This window comes from Homo sapiens, chromosome X, assembly GCF_000001405.40.
Source record: "Homo sapiens chromosome X, GRCh38.p14 Primary Assembly".
Classification (NCBI taxonomy): domain Eukaryota; kingdom Metazoa; phylum Chordata; class Mammalia; order Primates; family Hominidae; genus Homo; species Homo sapiens.
The window spans coordinates 75,431,283-75,450,270 of record NC_000023.11 but is presented as its reverse complement, the minus strand read 5'-3'; the positions used below and the strand labels follow the sequence as shown (position 1 = coordinate 75,450,270).

The following is an 18,988-nucleotide window of genomic DNA, read 5'->3' as shown; positions in this document are numbered from 1 at the left end:
CCACAGAAACCGCTATTCTGATAGCTTTTCACTATAAATTAGTTTTGTCTGCTCTCAAATTTTATATAATTGGAATCACAGAGTACATACTCTTGCGTCTGGCTTCTTTTATTCAACATAATGTTTGTAAGATTCATCCATCTTTTTTGTGTATTTTTTTATTGCTGTGTAGCATTATATTGTATGAATATATCAAAGTTTATCCATTCACTAGTTGATACATACTTGGGTTGTTTCTAGTGTTTAGTTATTATGAGTCAATTTGCTATGAATATTACTGTATAAGTATCTGTGCAAAGACATATCTTCTTTTTCCTTGAGTAAATATCCAATACAGAATTTTACTCTTAGGTTTCATCTGCATGACTAAAACAGTACTTGCTGAACTAATTCTCCACCTTTTAAATTTTGAAAACATACAGAGGTATGGGGAATATGTTAAAAAGTTTGAAAACCATGGTTCTTCTGATATGTCATCCTAATGTTTCTAATAAGGATGATTATGTTTCGTATTTCAAGGCTTTAGAAAGTTTACTGTCAGACACATATTCATTTGTTCATCATTTATTCAGCAAATATTTTTTAAGATATATGGCAATGGGGGAAATTTTACTATGTTCTTGGTATTATATGATATTAAGGACTTGCTGTTAATTTTGTTAGAGCAATAATATAGTGGTTATGATTTTTAAAAGTCTTCATGCATATGGAAATATTTATGGTTTGAAGTGACACAGTGTTTGGGATTTGTTTAAAATGATCAAGTAAAAAGCCAGTGGAAGAGATAGGTGAAACAAAAATGACACAATGTTGATAATTGTTGAATCTGGGTAATGGTACTTACCACGGTACCTTTGCTACTGACTATTCTCTGGGACCTTGAGGTATTTGCAATTCCCAGGATAGGCAGTAATAGGAAAGGCTTCTCTGAGGAAATACTATTTGAAGACTTAAATGATAAGGATTTAGCCATGTGTGTTAGTCAGCGTTCTCCAGATAAATAGAGCCAATAGAATTGTGTGTGTGTGTGTGTGTGTGTGTGTGTGTGTGTGTGTGTGTGTGTGTGTGTATAGAGAGAGAGAGAGATTATGAGGAATCAGCAAATGATTATGGAACCTGAGAAGTCCCACGGTCTGCCATCTGCAAGCTGGAGAATCAGGAAAGCTGGTAATGTAATTATAGTCTGAGTTAAACGGTTTGAGAACCAGTAGTGCTGATGGTGTAAGCCCCAGTCTAATGGCAGAAAACTGATGTCTCAGCTCATGCAGTCAGGCAACAACAGCAAATTTTCTCATCCTCCACATTTTTGTTCTGTTCAGGTCCTCAAAGGATTGGATGAGGCCCACCTGCATTGGGGAGGACAGTCTGCTTTACACAGTCTAGATTCGAATGCTAATCTCACCCAGAAGCACCTTCACAGAGACACCTAGAAATAATACTTAACCAAATATCTAGGTACCCTATGACCCAGTAAAGTTGACACACAAAATTAACTATCACAAGTCCAGCCCTTGTCAACTTGGCACCCATACACATCTCCTTAAGCCATACTCTCCACTTAAAGACAATAACAAGGTTACAATTTTACCTAACATGATACAAATATCATGCATTCAACTGAAAACGCACTAACCCCTTCCACAGAAGAATAGGTATTCTTGAGTGAGTTTACTTTTCTCCTTGCTATTTTGTTAATTAAAAACTAAATACTATGATATAAAATAACAACACTTAAATGTTACGATGTAAAGTCAATGCACCTTATGTTACATGATAAGGGGATAAGAGAAGGAAGAAGACAAAGATATTTGAAATACACACACACAACTGTATTCATAACAACATAAGAAGGAAACACCCATAACAATAACAGATCTTGTTTCTGTAACTGGTCACATGGTCATAGCTGGTATTTATAGCTACTTTCTCCCACCATCCATTCTGTACTCCCTTTGCCTTTAGCAAGCACCTCAGCTGGTACTGGTTTTTTACCTGACGTGGTGACCCAAATCTCCAGTTCTGAAGAGTCTGGGTCATTAGTAGTCCTGCCTGAATTGGATTGTTGTGGTTTTCCATTGACCTAATCACGGGGCATGGTAATACTAAGAGATGCCCTAAGGCACCTCCTGTATTCTTGACATAGTCTTTCTTTCCTCCATTGCAGAGTAGTAATAGTCCAATTTACACTTAATAGTCTAAAAGTCTATTATACCAGTTTACACTACCATTTCCACCCCTTGATTTCCACCCAGGACTCAAGGAGTAGAAATGGAAGTGGCACCACTCACCATTACCTTTAGTTACCCACTAACAAAATTGGACTATTAAGTCTAATTTACACTTCATAATCTGGATCAGTTATCCCAGCCAACATTGCACCTGCCTCTTGTCCTGTTGATTCAGAGATACGAGGATTCCAAAGTGGCTGGGTGGCAGTCTTAACTTCCAGTTCAATGGAATCATTGTTGTGTCCCCTGGTGGAAGTCCTCCCTCTGGGACTAACACCTCTAGACTAGCAAAGCACAAGATTGCAGGAACAGGAAGAAAACATTTTGTTAGTGGGTCACTTAGGGTAATGGTGAGTGGTACCACTCCCATTTCCACCCCTTGATTTCTGGACCTGTGAATCCTAACTATCAGAGAATCAGCATCATCTATTGGACACTGATTCAGAGCATATACAGCTTTTGGGAAAATCTTGCCCCAGCCCTGCAAGGTATTGGCACTGTAACTGACACTTCAAAAGACCATGTCATCACTCTGTCAAGCTAGCTGCTTCAGGATGATGGGGAACGTGATAACACCAGTAAATTCCACAAGCATGGGCCTACTGCAGCACTTCTCTTGCTGTGAAGGAAGTTCCTTGATCAGATGTAATGCTGTGTGGAATATCATGATGGTGGATAAGGCATTTTGTAAGTCCATCGATGGCACTTTTGGCAGAAGTGCAGCATGCAGGGAAGACAAATCTGTATCCAAAGTGTCTATTCCAGTAAGGACAAAACGCTGCCGCTGCTATGATAGAAGCACTCCAATGTAATCAACCTGATACCAGGTTGATGGCTCATCACCCCAGAGAATGGTGCTATATCAGGTGCTCAGTGTTGGTCTCTGCTGCTGGCAGATTGGGTAGTCAGCAGTGGCAGTAGCCAGGTCAGCCTTGGTGAGTGAAAGTCAATATTGCTGAGCCATGTAACCTCCATCCCTGCCACCATGGCCACTTTGTTCATGAGCCCATTGGGCAGTAACTGGGGTGGGTAGGGAAAGAGGCTGACTGGTAATCATTGAACAGGTCATTCTGTCTGTTTGATTATTAAAATCCTTCTCTGCTGTAGTGCTATTTTTCAAATGTTTGTGTGCCCCTAAAATTTATATATTGAAATCCTGTCCCCAAGGGGATATTAGGACGTGAGGTCTTTGGGGACATGGTTAAGTCATAAGTGTAGAACCCTCATGAATGTGATTAGTGCCCTTATAATAAGGCTCCAGAGAGCTGCTTTGCCCCTTTCACCATGAGAGGGCACAGCAAGAAAGCACTATCTATAAAAGAGGCCCTCACCAGCACTAAAGCTGTTGGTACCTTGATCTTGGAACTCCAAGCCTCGAGAACCATGCGAATAAATTTGTTGTTTAGAAGCTACCCAGTCTATGGTACTTTGTTAGAGCAGCCCCAAATGGAGTAAAACATGTGATCAACCATGAGTGAGTGTTCACACAAGATACAAATATCTTCACACTTTTTTTCCATTCAGAGAAGTCTTTCCACACACTTCTTTTCCAAATTTCCTTGTACCAGGGCTCTCTTTACAAATGTATTTCTCACAGTGTTAGTGAAAGGTACATTTTCTATACCTTCCCAGTGTGAGTGAGAAGAACTATTCTAAGTTCTACCTTCCATTCTCCTTAAGCCTTTGAATCCTCCCCTCAACATTAAACCAAGGCAGGTCCAGCATTTCCATCTCACTCACTGTGAGCCACCTTTTCATCGTGTTTTAGCAAACCAACCAACCAAATTGTTAGAATGCTTTCTAACTCCCTGAGCTGCAACATTAAAATCAGAATCTCTGCATAGTAGGCCCCTATCAATAAATTTGGCCAGATTCAACTTTATGTTTTTTCCAACATTAGTATTTGTTTCCACCTATGTTCCCTAGATTTCTATCTGTATAAATTAGAAAATTTGAGTAGTTCTTTTGGAGTGTAGTACGTGTCTTCATTGGTCACACTTTGTACCTTACCTTTAGGGATCTGTTAGGACTTGATTCTTATTATAGGCCTTAGAAGCAAAGAGGGATGGGTCCAGAGGAGAATCAACATTGTCTTGTATAGTGGCCTGAGTTTCCTCAAGCAACGCAGCGTTGATCCCTTCAGACAGGATTGGAGAGGCCAATACCATGGGCAGTTGGAAGCTGCTTCTACTGGTTGCAGGGAGGCCTCGTCTCCTGGCAAATAAGATGCATTGGAATTTAGGCACTCAGTATCCCTGGCTTCATAAGGGTCTTCCCACACATCCCCATCCTAACTTACAGGATCCAATTCTTTACAAATCAGTGCCCTCATTTTAACAGTAGATACCCTACAAGACTGGGAGTTCAACTATCATTGTAATTCGGCTATTTACAGATGGAATTCTGTGGTTTTCAGAAATCTCAGTCCTGTGGCTACATGCAATAAGCATCTCCTTTAGGAGATACATAGAAGCTTTCAGGTCATTTATCTACCACTTTGGCTGGGAATTCCTGAACTCATCTGTTTCTTTTAGCACTTTGTTCAGTCATGTTAGAAGCTACAAGCCAACCTCATTTTATTCATTGTTTTTCAAAAATGTTAAATATTATCATATATAGTCACCCAGCTACTTGCTTCTCATAAATGGTTGACTAAGAGCATCTATTGAAGATACTTTGCATATTTCCATTGTCAGATCATGCCACAGATTACCAGTGCTCTTTTTATTACTTGATACAGTGTCATTAGCATCATCAAAACTACTAAGATTGAAGAGCCAATTCCAGAAACTTCAGAACCAATTCAGAAAAACTCATTCCTAAAATTCTGTTTCTTTGGAATAACTATCAGTAGGGTTCTCTATAGAGAAAGAACAATGAGGTATATGTATATAAATTATTATTTACATTATTTACATTGAGGAATTAGCTCACATAATTATGGAGGCTGAGAAGTCCCACTGTCTGCCATCAGTGAGATGGAGACCCAGGAAAGGTGATGGTGTAGTCCTACTTTGAGCCCAAAGTATAAGCACTAGGAGAAACAATGGTATAATTTCTACTCCAAGTCCAAAGGCCTCCTGAGAACCTGAGAGCCAATAGTGTAAGTTCCAGTTTGAGTCTAAAGTTCTGAGAACCAGGAACCCTGATCACGTAAGTCCCAGTCTGACAGACTGATGTTTTATCTCATGCAGTCAGGCAGAGAGAACAAATTCTCCCTTCCTCTGAATTTTTTTTTATAACGGATATACAGTAATTTATTTAAACATTACCATTTCCAGTCTGCAGTAGTACACATGGTATTTTAATAAATACCATTCTACATAAATTTGTGTGTGTGTGTGTGTGTGTGTGTATATATATATATATATATATATATATATATATATATATATATATATACAGTGTTGCTTTTTTCTTTTTTTATTATACTTTAAGTTGTACGGTACATGTGCATAACGTGCAGGTTTGCTACATATGTATACATGTGCCATGTTGGTGTGCTGCACCCATTAACTCGCCATTTACATTAGGTATATCTCCTAATGCTATCCCTCCCCCCTCCCCCCACCCCACGACAGGCCCTGGTGTGTGATGTTCCCCTTCCTGTGTCCAAGTGTTCTCACTATTCAATTCCCACCTATGAGTGAGAACATGCGGTGTTTGGTTTCTTGTCCTTGTGATAGTTTGCTGAGAATGATGGCTTCAAGCTTCATCCATGTCCCTACAAAGGACATGAACTCATCCTTTTTTATGGCTGCATAGTATTCCATGGTGTATATGTGCCACATTTTCTTAATCCAGTCTATCATTGTTGGACATTTGGGTTAGTTCCAAGTCTTTGCTATTGTGAATAGTGCCGCAATAAACATACGTGTGCATGTGTCTTTATAGCAACATGTTTTATAATCCCTTGGGTATATACCCAGTAATGGGATGGCTGGGTCAAATGGCATTTCTAGTTCTAGATCCCTGAGGAATTGCCACACTGACTTTCACAATGGTTGAACTAGTTTACAGTCCCACCAACAGTGTAAAAGTGTTCCTATTTCTCCACATCCTCTCCAGCACCTGTTGTTTCCTGACTTTTTAATGATTGCCATTCTAACTGGTGTGAGATGGTATCTCATTGTGGTTTTGATTTGCATTTCTCTGATGGCCAGTGATGATGAGCATTTTTTCATGTGTGTCTTGGCTGCATAAATGTCTTCTTTTGAGAAGTGTCTATTCATATCCTTCGCCCACTTTTTGATGGGGTTGTTTGTTTTTTCCTTGTAAATTGGTTTGAGTTCTTTGTAGATTCTGGATATTAGCCCTTTGTCAGATGGGTAGATTGCAAAGATTTTCTCCCATTCTGTAAGTTGCCTGTTCACTCTGACGATAGTTTCTTTTGCTGTGCAGAAGCTCTTTAGTTTAATTAGATCCCATTTGTCAATTTTGGCTTTTGTGCCATTGCTTTTGGTGTTTTAGACATGAGGTCTTTGACCATGCCTATGTCCTGAATGTTATTGCCTAGGTTTTCTTGTAGGGTTTTTATGGTTTTAGGTCTAACCTTTAAGTCTTTAATCCATCTTGAATTAATTTTTGTATAAGTTGTAAGGAAGGGATCCAGTTTCAGCTTTCTACATATGGCTAGCCAGTTTTCCCAACACCGTTTGTTAAATAGGGAATGCTTTCCCCATTTCTTCTTTTTTTCAGGTTTGTCAAAGATCAGATAGTTGTAGATGTGTGGCATTATTTCTGAGGGCTCTGTTCTGTTCCATTGGTCTATAACTCTGTTTTGGTACCAAAACAGTAGCATGCTGTTTTGGTTACTGTAGCCTTGTAGTAGAGTTTGAAGTCAGGTAGCATGATGCCTCCAGCTTTGTTCTTTTGGCTTAGGATTGACTTGGCAATGCAGGGTCTTTTTTGGTTCCATATGAACTTTAAAGTATTTTTTCCAATTCTGTGAAGAAAGTCATTGGTAGCTTGATGGGGATGGCATTGAATCTATAAATTACCTTGGGCAGTATGGCCATTTTCTCAATATTGATTTTTTCTTTTTTTTTTTTTTTTTTGAGACGGAGTCTCGCTCTGTCGCCCAGGCTGGAGTGCAGTGGCGGGCTCTCGGCTCACTGCAAGCTCCGCCTCCTGGGTTCACGCCATTCTCCTGCCTCAGCCTCCCGAGTAGCTGGGACTACAGGCGCCCGCCACCGTGCCCGGCTAATTTTTTGTATTTTTAGTAGAGACGGGGTTTCACCTTGTTAGCCAGGATGGTCTCGATCTCCTGACCTCATGATCCACCCGCCTCGGCCTCCCAAAGTGCTGGGATTACAGGCGTGAGCCACCGCGCCCGGCCCAATATTGATTTTTTCTATCCATGAGCATGGAATGTTCTTCATTTGTTTGTATCCTCTTTTATTTCATTGAGCAGTAGTTTGTAGTTCTCCTTGAAAAGGTCCTTCACATCCCTTGTAAGTTGGATTCCTACGTATTTTATTCTCTTTGAAGCAACTGTGAATGGGAGTTCACTCATGATTTGGCTCTCTGTCTGTTATTGGTGTATTAGAATGCTTGTGATTTTTGCACATTGATTTTGTATCCTGAGACTTTGCTGAGGTTGCATATCAGCTTAAGGAGATTTTGGGCTGAAACAATGGGGTTTTCTAGATATACAATCATGTCATCTGCAAACACGGACAATTTGACTTCCTCTTTTCCTAATTGAATACCCTTTATTTCCTTCTCCTGCCTGATTACCCTGGCCAGAACTTCCAACACTATGTTGAATAGGAGTGGTGAGAGAGGGCATCCCTGTCTTGTGCCAGTTTTGGTCCTCAAAGGCTTGGTTGAAGCCCACCCCCACTGGGGAAGACAATCTGCTTTACTCAGTCTACTGATTCAAATGCTAATCTCACCCAGAAAAACTCTCACAAAGACACTTAGAAAGAATGTTTAATCAAATATCTGGGCACCGTATGACTCAGTCAAGTTCACACATAAAATTAACCATCAGAATTAAAACCAGACAAAAATACGGCATATAGGAGGCAGGACTAACTTGCCGCTCCCACTTGGATGGACAAAGCAACATGTGGAGACTCACACCATGAACTTTTGATCTAAGAACTACCACAGGGTGGCCGGGTGTGGTGGCTCATGCCTGTAATTCCAGCACTTTGGGAGGCTGAGGTGGGTGGATCACGAGATCAGGAGATCGAGACCATCCTGGCTAACATGGTGAAACCCCATCTCTACTAAAAATACAAAAAATTAGCCGTGCGCAGTGGCGGGTGCCTGTAATCCCAGCTACTCGGGGGGCTAAGGCAGGAGAATGGCGTGAACCCAGGAGGCGGAGCTTGCAGTGAGAGGAGATCACGCCACTGTACTCCAGCCTGGGCGACAGAGCGAGACTCTGTCTCAGGAAAAAAAAAAAAAAAAAGAACTACCACAGGAACATACCAGGAAAGCGGAAAGAATTCACAGATCCTTTGAAAGAAGCATCTTGCCACTGCAAACTCCATGAGACAGCCAAAAACCTGTGAGTGCCCAAAGTGTTGAGAGGGGGAAAGTCCACTTCTGAACATGCATCCCCACTGGGGAATCTAAAAATTCTGATTGTGGGAAAAGGATTTCACCTTCCTTAGAGCGGAAACAAATTTGGAGAGCCGAGAGAAATATAAAAGTAGAGGAAGCAGTGGGAAGAACCCTGTAGGCACTCACGGTCTTCAGGGAAGCCCAGACTAGCCATTTCCTTTTCACTAGGGCTCTCTATTTCAAGGGTTCCTTGGGGAACAGCCACAGAGAGAAGGAAACTCACAGCTGAGCTTTGTAATAATTTCAACTGAGCATGAATTTTCTTGGGCAGAATCCAGGGAGATGAATGGGAAGTATAGATACGAGCACAGAAGCTGTGGCAGGCAGGGAGGGGCAGGGCCTGAAAGCCCTGCTTGCTTTCTCCATGGGGATGCTTGTAGCAAGGCAAGATGTCAGCCCTGCAAACCGGCTTCCTGGATATAAACTAGGTGCTGTTGGTGGGTACGGGGAGAGTGTGACTGGCCTTGCTGGCTGCATGGGAGTTGGGTGAGGCCTGTCACTGCTGGCTTTTCTCCACTTCCCTGGTGACCTATATGATGTAGCAGAGGCAGCCATAATCCTCCTGGGAACATAACTCCATTAACCTGAGAACAACACCCCTATTTCCCACAGCAACCATAGCAAGCCCCACACAAGGAGAGTCTGAGCTCAGACATGCCTAACCTGCCCTGATGGCCTTTCTCTACATGCCCTGGTAGCTGAAGATGAAATCTCTTGGGAGTTCTATGTCCCTGCCCATTGCCTGAGAAACCAGAATACTTATCCAGGTGACCCTAGGGAAAGATTGAATCCCCGCTATACTACCACAGCTGATGCTCTCTTGAAAGCCCCACCTCCTGGCTGGAGGCCAACCAACTCAAGCCATTACAACAACACATAAAAGAACGTGGTTGGGCACGGTGGCTCACGCCTGTAATCCCAGCACTTCGGGAGGCCGGGGCAGGCAGATCACGAGGTCAGGAGATCGAGACCATCCTGGCTAACACGGTGAAACCCTGTCTCTACTAAAAATACAAAAAATTAGCTGGGCATGGTGGTGGGCGCCTGTAGTCCCAGCTACTCAGGAGGCTAAGGCGAGAGAATGGCATGAACCCGGAAGGCGGAGCTTGCATTGAGCCGAGATCGTGCCACTGCACTCCAGCCTGGGCAACAGAGCAAGACTCCATCTCCATCTCAAAAAAAAAAGGAAAAGAAAAAAGAAAAAAAGAACAACCCTGCTCCAAGAAAGGAGAAAACAACAGCTAATTCCACTGCCTGGGACATCCTGGCTAACCAGAGGTCCTGAGTTTGTCCACGTGATAGCTTCACTGTTAGCACAAACAGCATTTGAGAAAACCAGGGCCATAAAAAAATCTACAGTCAAGGATCCTCACAGAATCCACTTCAACTCCCCTGCTACCTCCACTGGAGCAGGTGCTGGTATCCATGACTGAGAGAACTGAAGATGGATCAAATCACAGGACTCTTTGCAGACACTCCCCAGTACCAGCACAGAGTCCGGTAGCTCTGCTGGGTGGCTAGACCCAGAAGAGTAAATAACAATCACTGCAGTCTGGCTCCCAGGAAACCCCATCCTTAGAAAAATGGGGAGAACACCACATCAAGGGATCACCCAGTGGAAGAAAAGAATCTGAACAGCAGCCCTTGAGCCACAGAACGTTCCTCTGACATAGTCTACCCAAATGAGAAGGAACAAGAAAAACAATTCTGATAATATTATAAAGCAAGGTTCTTTGACATCCCCCAAAGACCACATTAGGTCACAAGCAATGGATCTAAACCAAGAAGAATCCTGTGAATTGCCCAGAAAAGAATTTAGAAAGTCAATTATTAAGCTGTTCAAGGAGGGATCAGAGAAAGATGAAAAATAATTTAAAGAAATTTTAAAAATATTATAGGATATGGATTAAAATATCTCCAGAGAAATATACAGCATAAATAAAAAACATCCACAGCTTCTGGAAATGAAACACACTTAGACAAATGCAAAAGAAACTGGAAAGTTACAACAATATAATTGAAGAAGTAGAAGAAAGAACATCAGAGCTTAAAGAAAAGGCTTTTGAATTAACCCAATCTGACAAAGACAAAGAAAAAAGATTCAAAAAAATGAACAAAGGCTCCAAGAAGTTTTGTGATTATGTTAAATGATTATGTTATTCTGAAACCTAAGAGTAATTGGTGTTCCTGAGGAAGAAGAGAGATCTAAGTGTTTGGAAAACTTATTTGGGGGAAAAACCGAGGAAAATGTCCCTGGCCTTGCTAGAGATATAGACATCCAAATACAGAAGCTCAAAGAACACCCAGGAAATTCATAGCAAAAAATCATCAGGTAGGCACACAGTCATCAGAGTATCTAAAGTCAAGACAAAGGAGAAAATCTTAAGAGCTGTGAGGCAAAAGCATCAGGTAACCTATGAAGGGAAAGCTATCAGACTAACAGCAGATTTGTCAGCAGAAACCCTGCAAACTAGAAGGGATTTGGGTCCTATATTTTGCCTCTTTAAGAAAATAATTACCAGCCAAGAATTTTGTATCCAGCGAAAGAAAACTTCATAAATGAAGGAAAGATAAAATATTTTTTAGACAAAAAAATGCTGAGATAATTTACCATTACCAAGGCAGAGCTACAAGAAATGTTAAAAGGAGTTCAATATCTTGAAACAAAACCTCAAAATACAGCAAAATAGAACTTCCTTAAAGCATAAATCTCACAGGGGTTATAAAACAAAAACACAATGTAAAAAAGGCATTGATGCAACAACTAGCATGATGAATAGAATGATACCTCACATCTCAATATTAATGTTGAATGTAAACGGCCTAAATCCTCCACTTAAAAGATACAGAATGGCAGAATGAATAAAAGTTTACCAACCAAGTATCTGCTGTCTTCAACGCACCTAACATAAAAGGACTGACATAAACTTAAGGTACAGGAGTGAAAAAAGGTATTCAATGCAAATGGACACTAAAAATATGCAGGGTTAGCTATTCTTAGAAAAAAAAACAGACTTTAAAGCAACAACAGTTTAAAAAGACAAAGAGGGACATTATATAATGATAAAAGGACAGTTAAACAGGAAAATATCACAATCCTAAATATATATGCACCTAATACTGGAGCCCACAAATTTATAAAACAATTACTATTAGACTTGAGAAATGAAATAGATGGCAACACAATAATAGCGGGGGACTTCACTACTCCACTGACAGCACGAGACAGGCCATCAAGACAGAAAGTCACACTGACTTCCACAATGGTTGAACTAGTTTACAGTCCCACCAACAGTGTAAAAGTGTTCCTATTTCTCCACATCCTCTCCAGCACTTGTTGTTTCCTGACTTTTTAATGATTGCCATTCTAACAGGTGTGAGATGGTATCTCATTGTGGTTGTGATTTGCATTTCTCTGATGGCCAGTGATGGTGAGCATTTTTTCATGTGTTTTTTGGCTGCATAAATGTCTTCTTTTGAGAAGTGTCTGTTCATGTCCTTTGCCCACTTTTTGATGGGGTTGTTTGTTTTTTTCTTGTAAATTTGTTTGAGTTCTTTGTAGATTCTGGATATTAGCCCTTTGTCAGATGAGTATGGAAGTCAGTGTGGTGATTCCTCAGAGATCTAGAACTAGAAATACCATTTGACCCAGCCATCCCATTACTGGGTATATACCCAAAGGACTGTAAATCATGCTGCTTTAAAGACACATGCACACGTATGTTTATTGTGGCATTATTCACAATAGCAAAGACTTGGAACCAACCCAAATGTCCAACAATGATAGACTGGATTAAGAAAATGTGGCACATATACACCATGGAATACTATGCAGCCATAAAAAATGATGAGTTCATATCCTTTGTAGGGACATGGATGAAATTGGAAATCATCATTCTCAGTAAACTATCGCAAGAACAAAAAACCAAACACCGCATATTCTCACTCATAGGTGGGAATTGAACAATGAGAACACATGGACACAGGAAGGGGAACATCACACTCTGGGGACTGTTGTGGGGTGGGGGGAGGGGGGAGGGATAGCATTGGGAGATATACCTAATGCTAGATGACGAGTTAGTGGGTGCAGCACACCAGCATGGCACATGTATACATATGTAACTAACCTGCACATTGTGCACATGTACCCTAAAACTTAAAGTATAATAATAATAAATAAATTTAAAAAAAAAAAACAAAAAAAAGAAAGTCAACAAAGAAACAACAAAGAAACAGTAGACTTAAACTACACACTAGAACAAATAGACTTAACAGATATTTACAGGGGCTTGGCGCGGTGGCTCAGGCCTGTAATCCCAGCACTTTGGGTGGCCGGGGCGGGCGGATCACGAGGTAAGGCGATCAAGACCATCCTGGCTAACACGGTGAAACCCCATCTCTACTAAAAACACAAAAAATTAGCCGGGCATGGTGGTGGGTGCCTGTAGTCCCAGCTACTCGGGAGGCTGAGGCAGGAGAATGGCGTGAACCCAGGAGGCAGAGCTTGCAGTGAGCCGAGATCACGCCACTGCACTCCAGCCTGGGCGACAGAGCGAGACTCCGTCTCAAAAAGACAAAACAAAACAAAACAAAATAAACAAAAAATAAAACAAACAAAACAAAACAGATATTTACAGAACATTCTACCCAACTACTGCAGAATATACATTCTATTCATTAGCACATGGAACATTATTCAAGATAGACCATATGATAGGCCACAAAACAAGTTTCAGTAAATCTAAGAAAATCAAAATTATTTCAAGTACTTTCTCAGACCACAGTGGAATACAATTGGAAATCACCTTTAGTAGGAACCTTCAAAACCATGTGAATACATAGAATTTAAATAAACTACTCATGAATGATTGTTGAGTCAACAATGAAATCAAGATGGAAGTTTTAAAAATTCTTTGAACTGAATGATAATAGTAACACAACCTATCAAAACCTCTGGGATACAGCAAAACAGTGCTAAGAGGAAAGTTCATAGCATTAAGTGCCTACATCAAAAAGTCTGAAAGAGCACAAATGGACAATCTAAGCTTACACCTCAAGGAACTAAAGAAACAAGAACAAACCAAACCCAAACCCAGCAGAAGAAAAGAAATAACAAAAATCAGAGCAGAACTAAATGAAATTGAAACAAAAAATAAGAATACAAAAGATAAATGAAACGAAAAGCTTGTTCTTCGAAAAGATAAAATTGATAGACAATTAGTGAGATAAACCAAGAAGAGTGAAGATCCAAATAAGCTCAATTTGAAACAAAAAGGGAGATATTACAGCCGATAACAGAAATACAAAAGATCATTCAAGGCAACTAAGGACACATTCGTGGGCACAAACTAGAAAATTTAGAGGAGATGGATAAATTCCTGCAAATATACAACTGTGCTAGATTAAACCAGAAAGAAATGGGAACTCTGAAGAGGCCAGTAACAAGCAGCAAGATTAAAATGGTAATAAAAAAATTGCCAACAAAAAAAAGTCCAGGGCCAGATGGATTCACAGCTGAATTCTATCAGACACTCAAAGAAGAATTGGTACCACTCCTACTGAAACTATTCCAAAAGACAGAGAAAGAGGGAATCCTTCCTAAATTATTCTATGAAGCCAATATTACCCTAGTACCAAAAACCAGGAAAGAACATAGCTAAAAAAGAAAACTGCAGACCAATATTCCTAATGAATATAGATGCAGAAATCCTCAACAAAATACTAGCTAACCGAATTCAACAGCATATCAAAAACATAATCCATCATCATCATGTGGGTTTCATACCATGGATTCAGGGTTGGTTTAACACAGGCAAGTCAATAAATGTGGTACACCACATAAACATAAGTAAAAACAAAAATCACATGATCATCTCAATAGACGCAGAAAAAACATTTGACAAAATCCAGCATCCCTTTATGATTAAAATCCTCAGCAAAATCAGCATAGAAGGGAAATATGTTAAGGTAATAAAAGCCATCTATGACAAACCCACAGCTAAATTATACTGAATGGGGAAAAGTTGAAAGCATTGTTCCTGAGAACTGGAACAAGACAAAGATGCCCACTTTCACCATTTCTATTCAACATAGTACTGGAAGTCCTAGCCAGAGTGATCAGACAAGAGAAAGAAATAAAGGACATCCAAATGAATAAAGAGGAAGTCAAACAGTCACTGTTTGCTGATAATGTGATCATATACCTAGAAAACCCTAAAGACTCTTCCAAAAAGCTCCTGGATCTGATCAATGAATTCAATAAAATTTCACGTTACAAAATTAATGTATACAAATCAGTAGCAGTGCTATACACCAACAGCAACCAAGCTGAGAATCAAATCAAGAACTCCACTACTTTTACTATAGCAGAAAACAAACAAACAAACAAAACTTAGAAATATACCTAACCAAGGACATGAAAGACCTCTACAAGGAAAACTACAAAACACTGCTGAAAGAAATCATAGACAACGTAAACAAATGGAAACACATCCCATGCCCATGAATGGGTATAATCAATATTGTGAAAATGACCATGCTGCCAAAAGCAATATACACATTCAATGCAATTCCCATCAAACTACCACCATCATTCTTCACAGCACTGGAAAAAACAATTCTAAAATTCATGTGAAACTATAAAAGCCCGCATTAGGCAAAGCAAGAGTAAGCAAAAAGAACAAATCTGGAGGCATCACGTTACCTGACTTCAAACTATACTACAAGGCTATAGTCACCAAAGCAGCATGGTACAGGTATAAAAATAGGTGCATAGACCAATGGAACAGAATAGGAACCCAGAAATAAGCCCAAATACTTACAGCTAACTGATTTTTGACAAAGCAAACAAAAACATAAAGTGGGGAAAGACACCCTATTCAACAAATGATGCTGGGATAATTGGCAAGCCACATGTAGAAGAATGAAACTGGATCCTCATTTATCACCATATACAAAAATCTACTGAACTCAAGTTGGATCGAAGACTTAAATCTAAGACCTGAAACCATAAACATTATAGAAGATAACATTGGAAAAACTTTGCTAGATATTGGCCTATGCAAATAGTTCATGACCAAGAACCCAAAGGCAAATGCAACACCAACAAAGATAAATTGATGGGACTTAATTAAACTAGAAAGCTTCTGCATAGGAAAAGAAATAGCAGAGTAAACAGACAACCCAAAGGCTGGGAAAAATTATCCACAAACTATGCATGTGACAAGGGACGAATATCCAGAATCTACAAGGAACCCAAACAAATCAGCAAGAAAAAAACAATCCCATCAAAAAGTGGGCTAAGGACCTGAATAAACAATTCTCAAAAGAAGATATACAAATGGCCAACAAACGTGAAAATATTCTCAACATCACTAATTTTCAGGGAAATGCAAGTCAAAACCACAATGCAATACCACCTTATTCCTGCAAGAATGGCCGTAATTTAAAAATCAAAGCATAATAAACGTTGGCTTTGATGTGGTGAAAAGGGAACGCTTTTACACTCCTGGTGGGAATATGAACTACTACAACCACTATGGAAAACAGTATGGAGATTCCTTAAAGAACTAACGTAGATCTGTCATTTGATCCAACAATCCCACTCCTGGGTATTTACCCAGAGCAAAAGAAGTCATTATATGAAAAAGACACTTGCACAGGCATGTTCATCGCAACACAGTTTGCAATTACAAATTACAAAAATATGGAACCAGCCCAAACCAATGAGTGAATAAAGAAAATGTTACATATATATATATATATATATACACACACACACACACACACACACACACACACACACACACACTACTCAGCCATAAAAAATATACACTACTTGGCCATAAAAAGGGAACAAAATCATGGCATTCTCAGCAACCTGGATGGAGTTGGAGACCATTATTCTATGTAAAGTAACTCAGGAGTGGAAAACCTAATATCATATGTTTTCAATTATGAGTGAGAGCTAAGCTATGAGGATGCAAAAGCCTAAGAATGATATAGTGTACTCTGGGGACTCAGGGGGAAGGGTAGGGGGTGGCAAGGGTTAACAGACTACATGCTGGGTACAGTGTTTACGGCTTAGATGGTGGGTGCACCAAAATCTCAGAAATCACCACTAAACAACTTATCCATGTAACCAAACACCACCTGTTCCCCAAAAACCTATTGAAATAAAAAAAGTAAAATTAACCATCATACCAAAAGGAGCAGAGGGATGATCATCCCAGGCAAAAGGAACTGCAAGCACAAAAAGCCTTGAAACAGGAGCAAGCTTGATTACAAGAGCAGATAGGCAGCCAGTTTCACTGGAACATAGTATGAGGAGAGTTTTACAAGATTCATTTGAAGAGATAGGCAGAGGCTAGATGATACAGGCCATGGTAAGGAGTTTGGATTTTATTCTGAAGGTGTTGGAAATCCATTGAGAGTTTTAAGTGGAGAGTGATATGATCTGATTTACATTTTTTTTTTTATTTTTAGAAACAGGATCTTGCTCTATCGCCCAGGCTGGAGTACAGTGGTTCATTCATGGATCACAGCAGCCTCGAACTCCTGGGCTCTAGCAATCCTCCCGCCTCGGCCTCCCAAGTAGCTGAGGCCACAAGTGCACACCACCATGCCTGGCTAATTTATTTTATTTTATTTTTTTATAGAGACAGGGTCTCACTATGTTGTCCAGGCTGGTCTGGAACTCTTGGTCTCAAGCGATAGTTGTGCCTCAGTCTCTCAAAGTGCTGGGATTATAGACATGAGCCACTACACCAGATCTGATGTAGATTTTGACAGATCACCCAGCTACTCTGTATAGTAGGTCTTTTGAGGGGCAAGTATGAAAGCAGAGTGATAAATTACACAGATATTGCAGTCAACTAGCTAAGAGACAATGTGGCTTAAATGAGGATAGGAGCATTGACAGTATATTTTAAAATATGCAAAAGGACCCAGATATGCATGTTCTTCTCCCTTCCTCTTTGACTCAATTATACCCACGACTTTAGTCACTCACATACTTCCATTAGTGGAAGTAAACACAAATCTCTGCTGAATTAACTGTCTATTGTGTTGAATCAGTAATATGTGCTTAATGTACACTTTAGATGAAATGATTATATTAGTTCAAATTATTCATCATTTTAGTTTTTATACTTAATAATCACATTAAACACAGTCGTACTCTATCAATGAACATCTAGAAAATGAGAGGGAAAGTAAAATACCTTTCATCTAAAGGAAAGGAAGGAAGGAAGAAAGGAAGGAATGAAGGAGGGAGGGAAGGAGGAATGATTTTTTTATATTAGAATCCTAAAATAAGAATTACAGAGTTAAAAGAATCCTAAAATAAGAAATCATCAAAACTGTACAGGTCACAGCCCTGCCAGCAACTTGCTGTGTGACCCTGGGCAAATCACTTGATATGACCCAGATCTTTATTTCCTTTATCTGTGAAATGGTCAATTAAACTAATTGTTCTAGAATGTCTCTTCTGTTCCCCAAATTATTATTCTAGAAACCACTCTCTTTACCATGTTTTAGGAGTGTTATCCACCACATACAATCCAACCTCTGGAGACAGGAGATAAACTGTGAATCCTTATTTTCAGATCAGAAAGTTGGGGGTAAATAGAGGCTAAATGGTTTTTCAAGATCCCTCAAGCATTTGATAGTATAGTTTGTTTTATAATGAAAGATCTTATGACAGATATCCAGATAAGAAACTTTTCTCGTTCCTTTCAGCCCCCAAAAGTGCTTTCAAAATTGGATACAACAAGGAAAAAAATATATACCCCAATTCTCTTATGTAGTCTGCCTTTTGCTTGGTAACTTGAGATGAGTTTGACTATCTATAATCAGTGCATAACAAGTCATCCAGATAAGCTAGTAAGATATAAGGTCTTATATTGAGCCCTAACAAGTGCTAACCACCTTATTTTTTTTTTTATAGCTGTACGATTCTGTGACCGGTGTCATCTGATCAAGCCAGACCGCTGCCACCACTGCTCTGTCTGTGCTATGTAAGTGACGGCCATATTTCCCCTGGGCTGGGCTTGGCCACTGAAGGTTTCCTAGACAACAAAATGACTGATCCTAACATGTAATCATACCTAGATAAGAGCATTTCCTTTCAATTATAATGAGCATATGCCAAAACCCCTCACACGGATGATGATGATCCAAGCTAC

At 39.8% G+C, this 18,988-nt stretch overlaps 1 protein-coding gene across 13 annotated transcripts in view; it reads left to right on the top strand.

The window, feature by feature from the left end:
• Positions 1-18,988, top strand: part of ZDHHC15 (zDHHC palmitoyltransferase 15) — a 154,611-nt gene that overhangs the window by 72,767 nt on the left and 62,856 nt on the right. For all 13 annotated transcript variants that reach the window (XR_001755658.3, XR_938393.3, XR_007068181.1 and 10 more), the window contains one exon: positions 18,751-18,820. Coding sequence is in view for 10 of the 13 variants with exons in the window: in NM_001146256.2 (NP_001139728.1) it covers positions 18,751-18,820 (70 nt within the window). In the remaining 3 variants the exon portion in view is untranslated. The remainder of the gene's footprint in view (positions 1-18,750; positions 18,821-18,988) is intronic.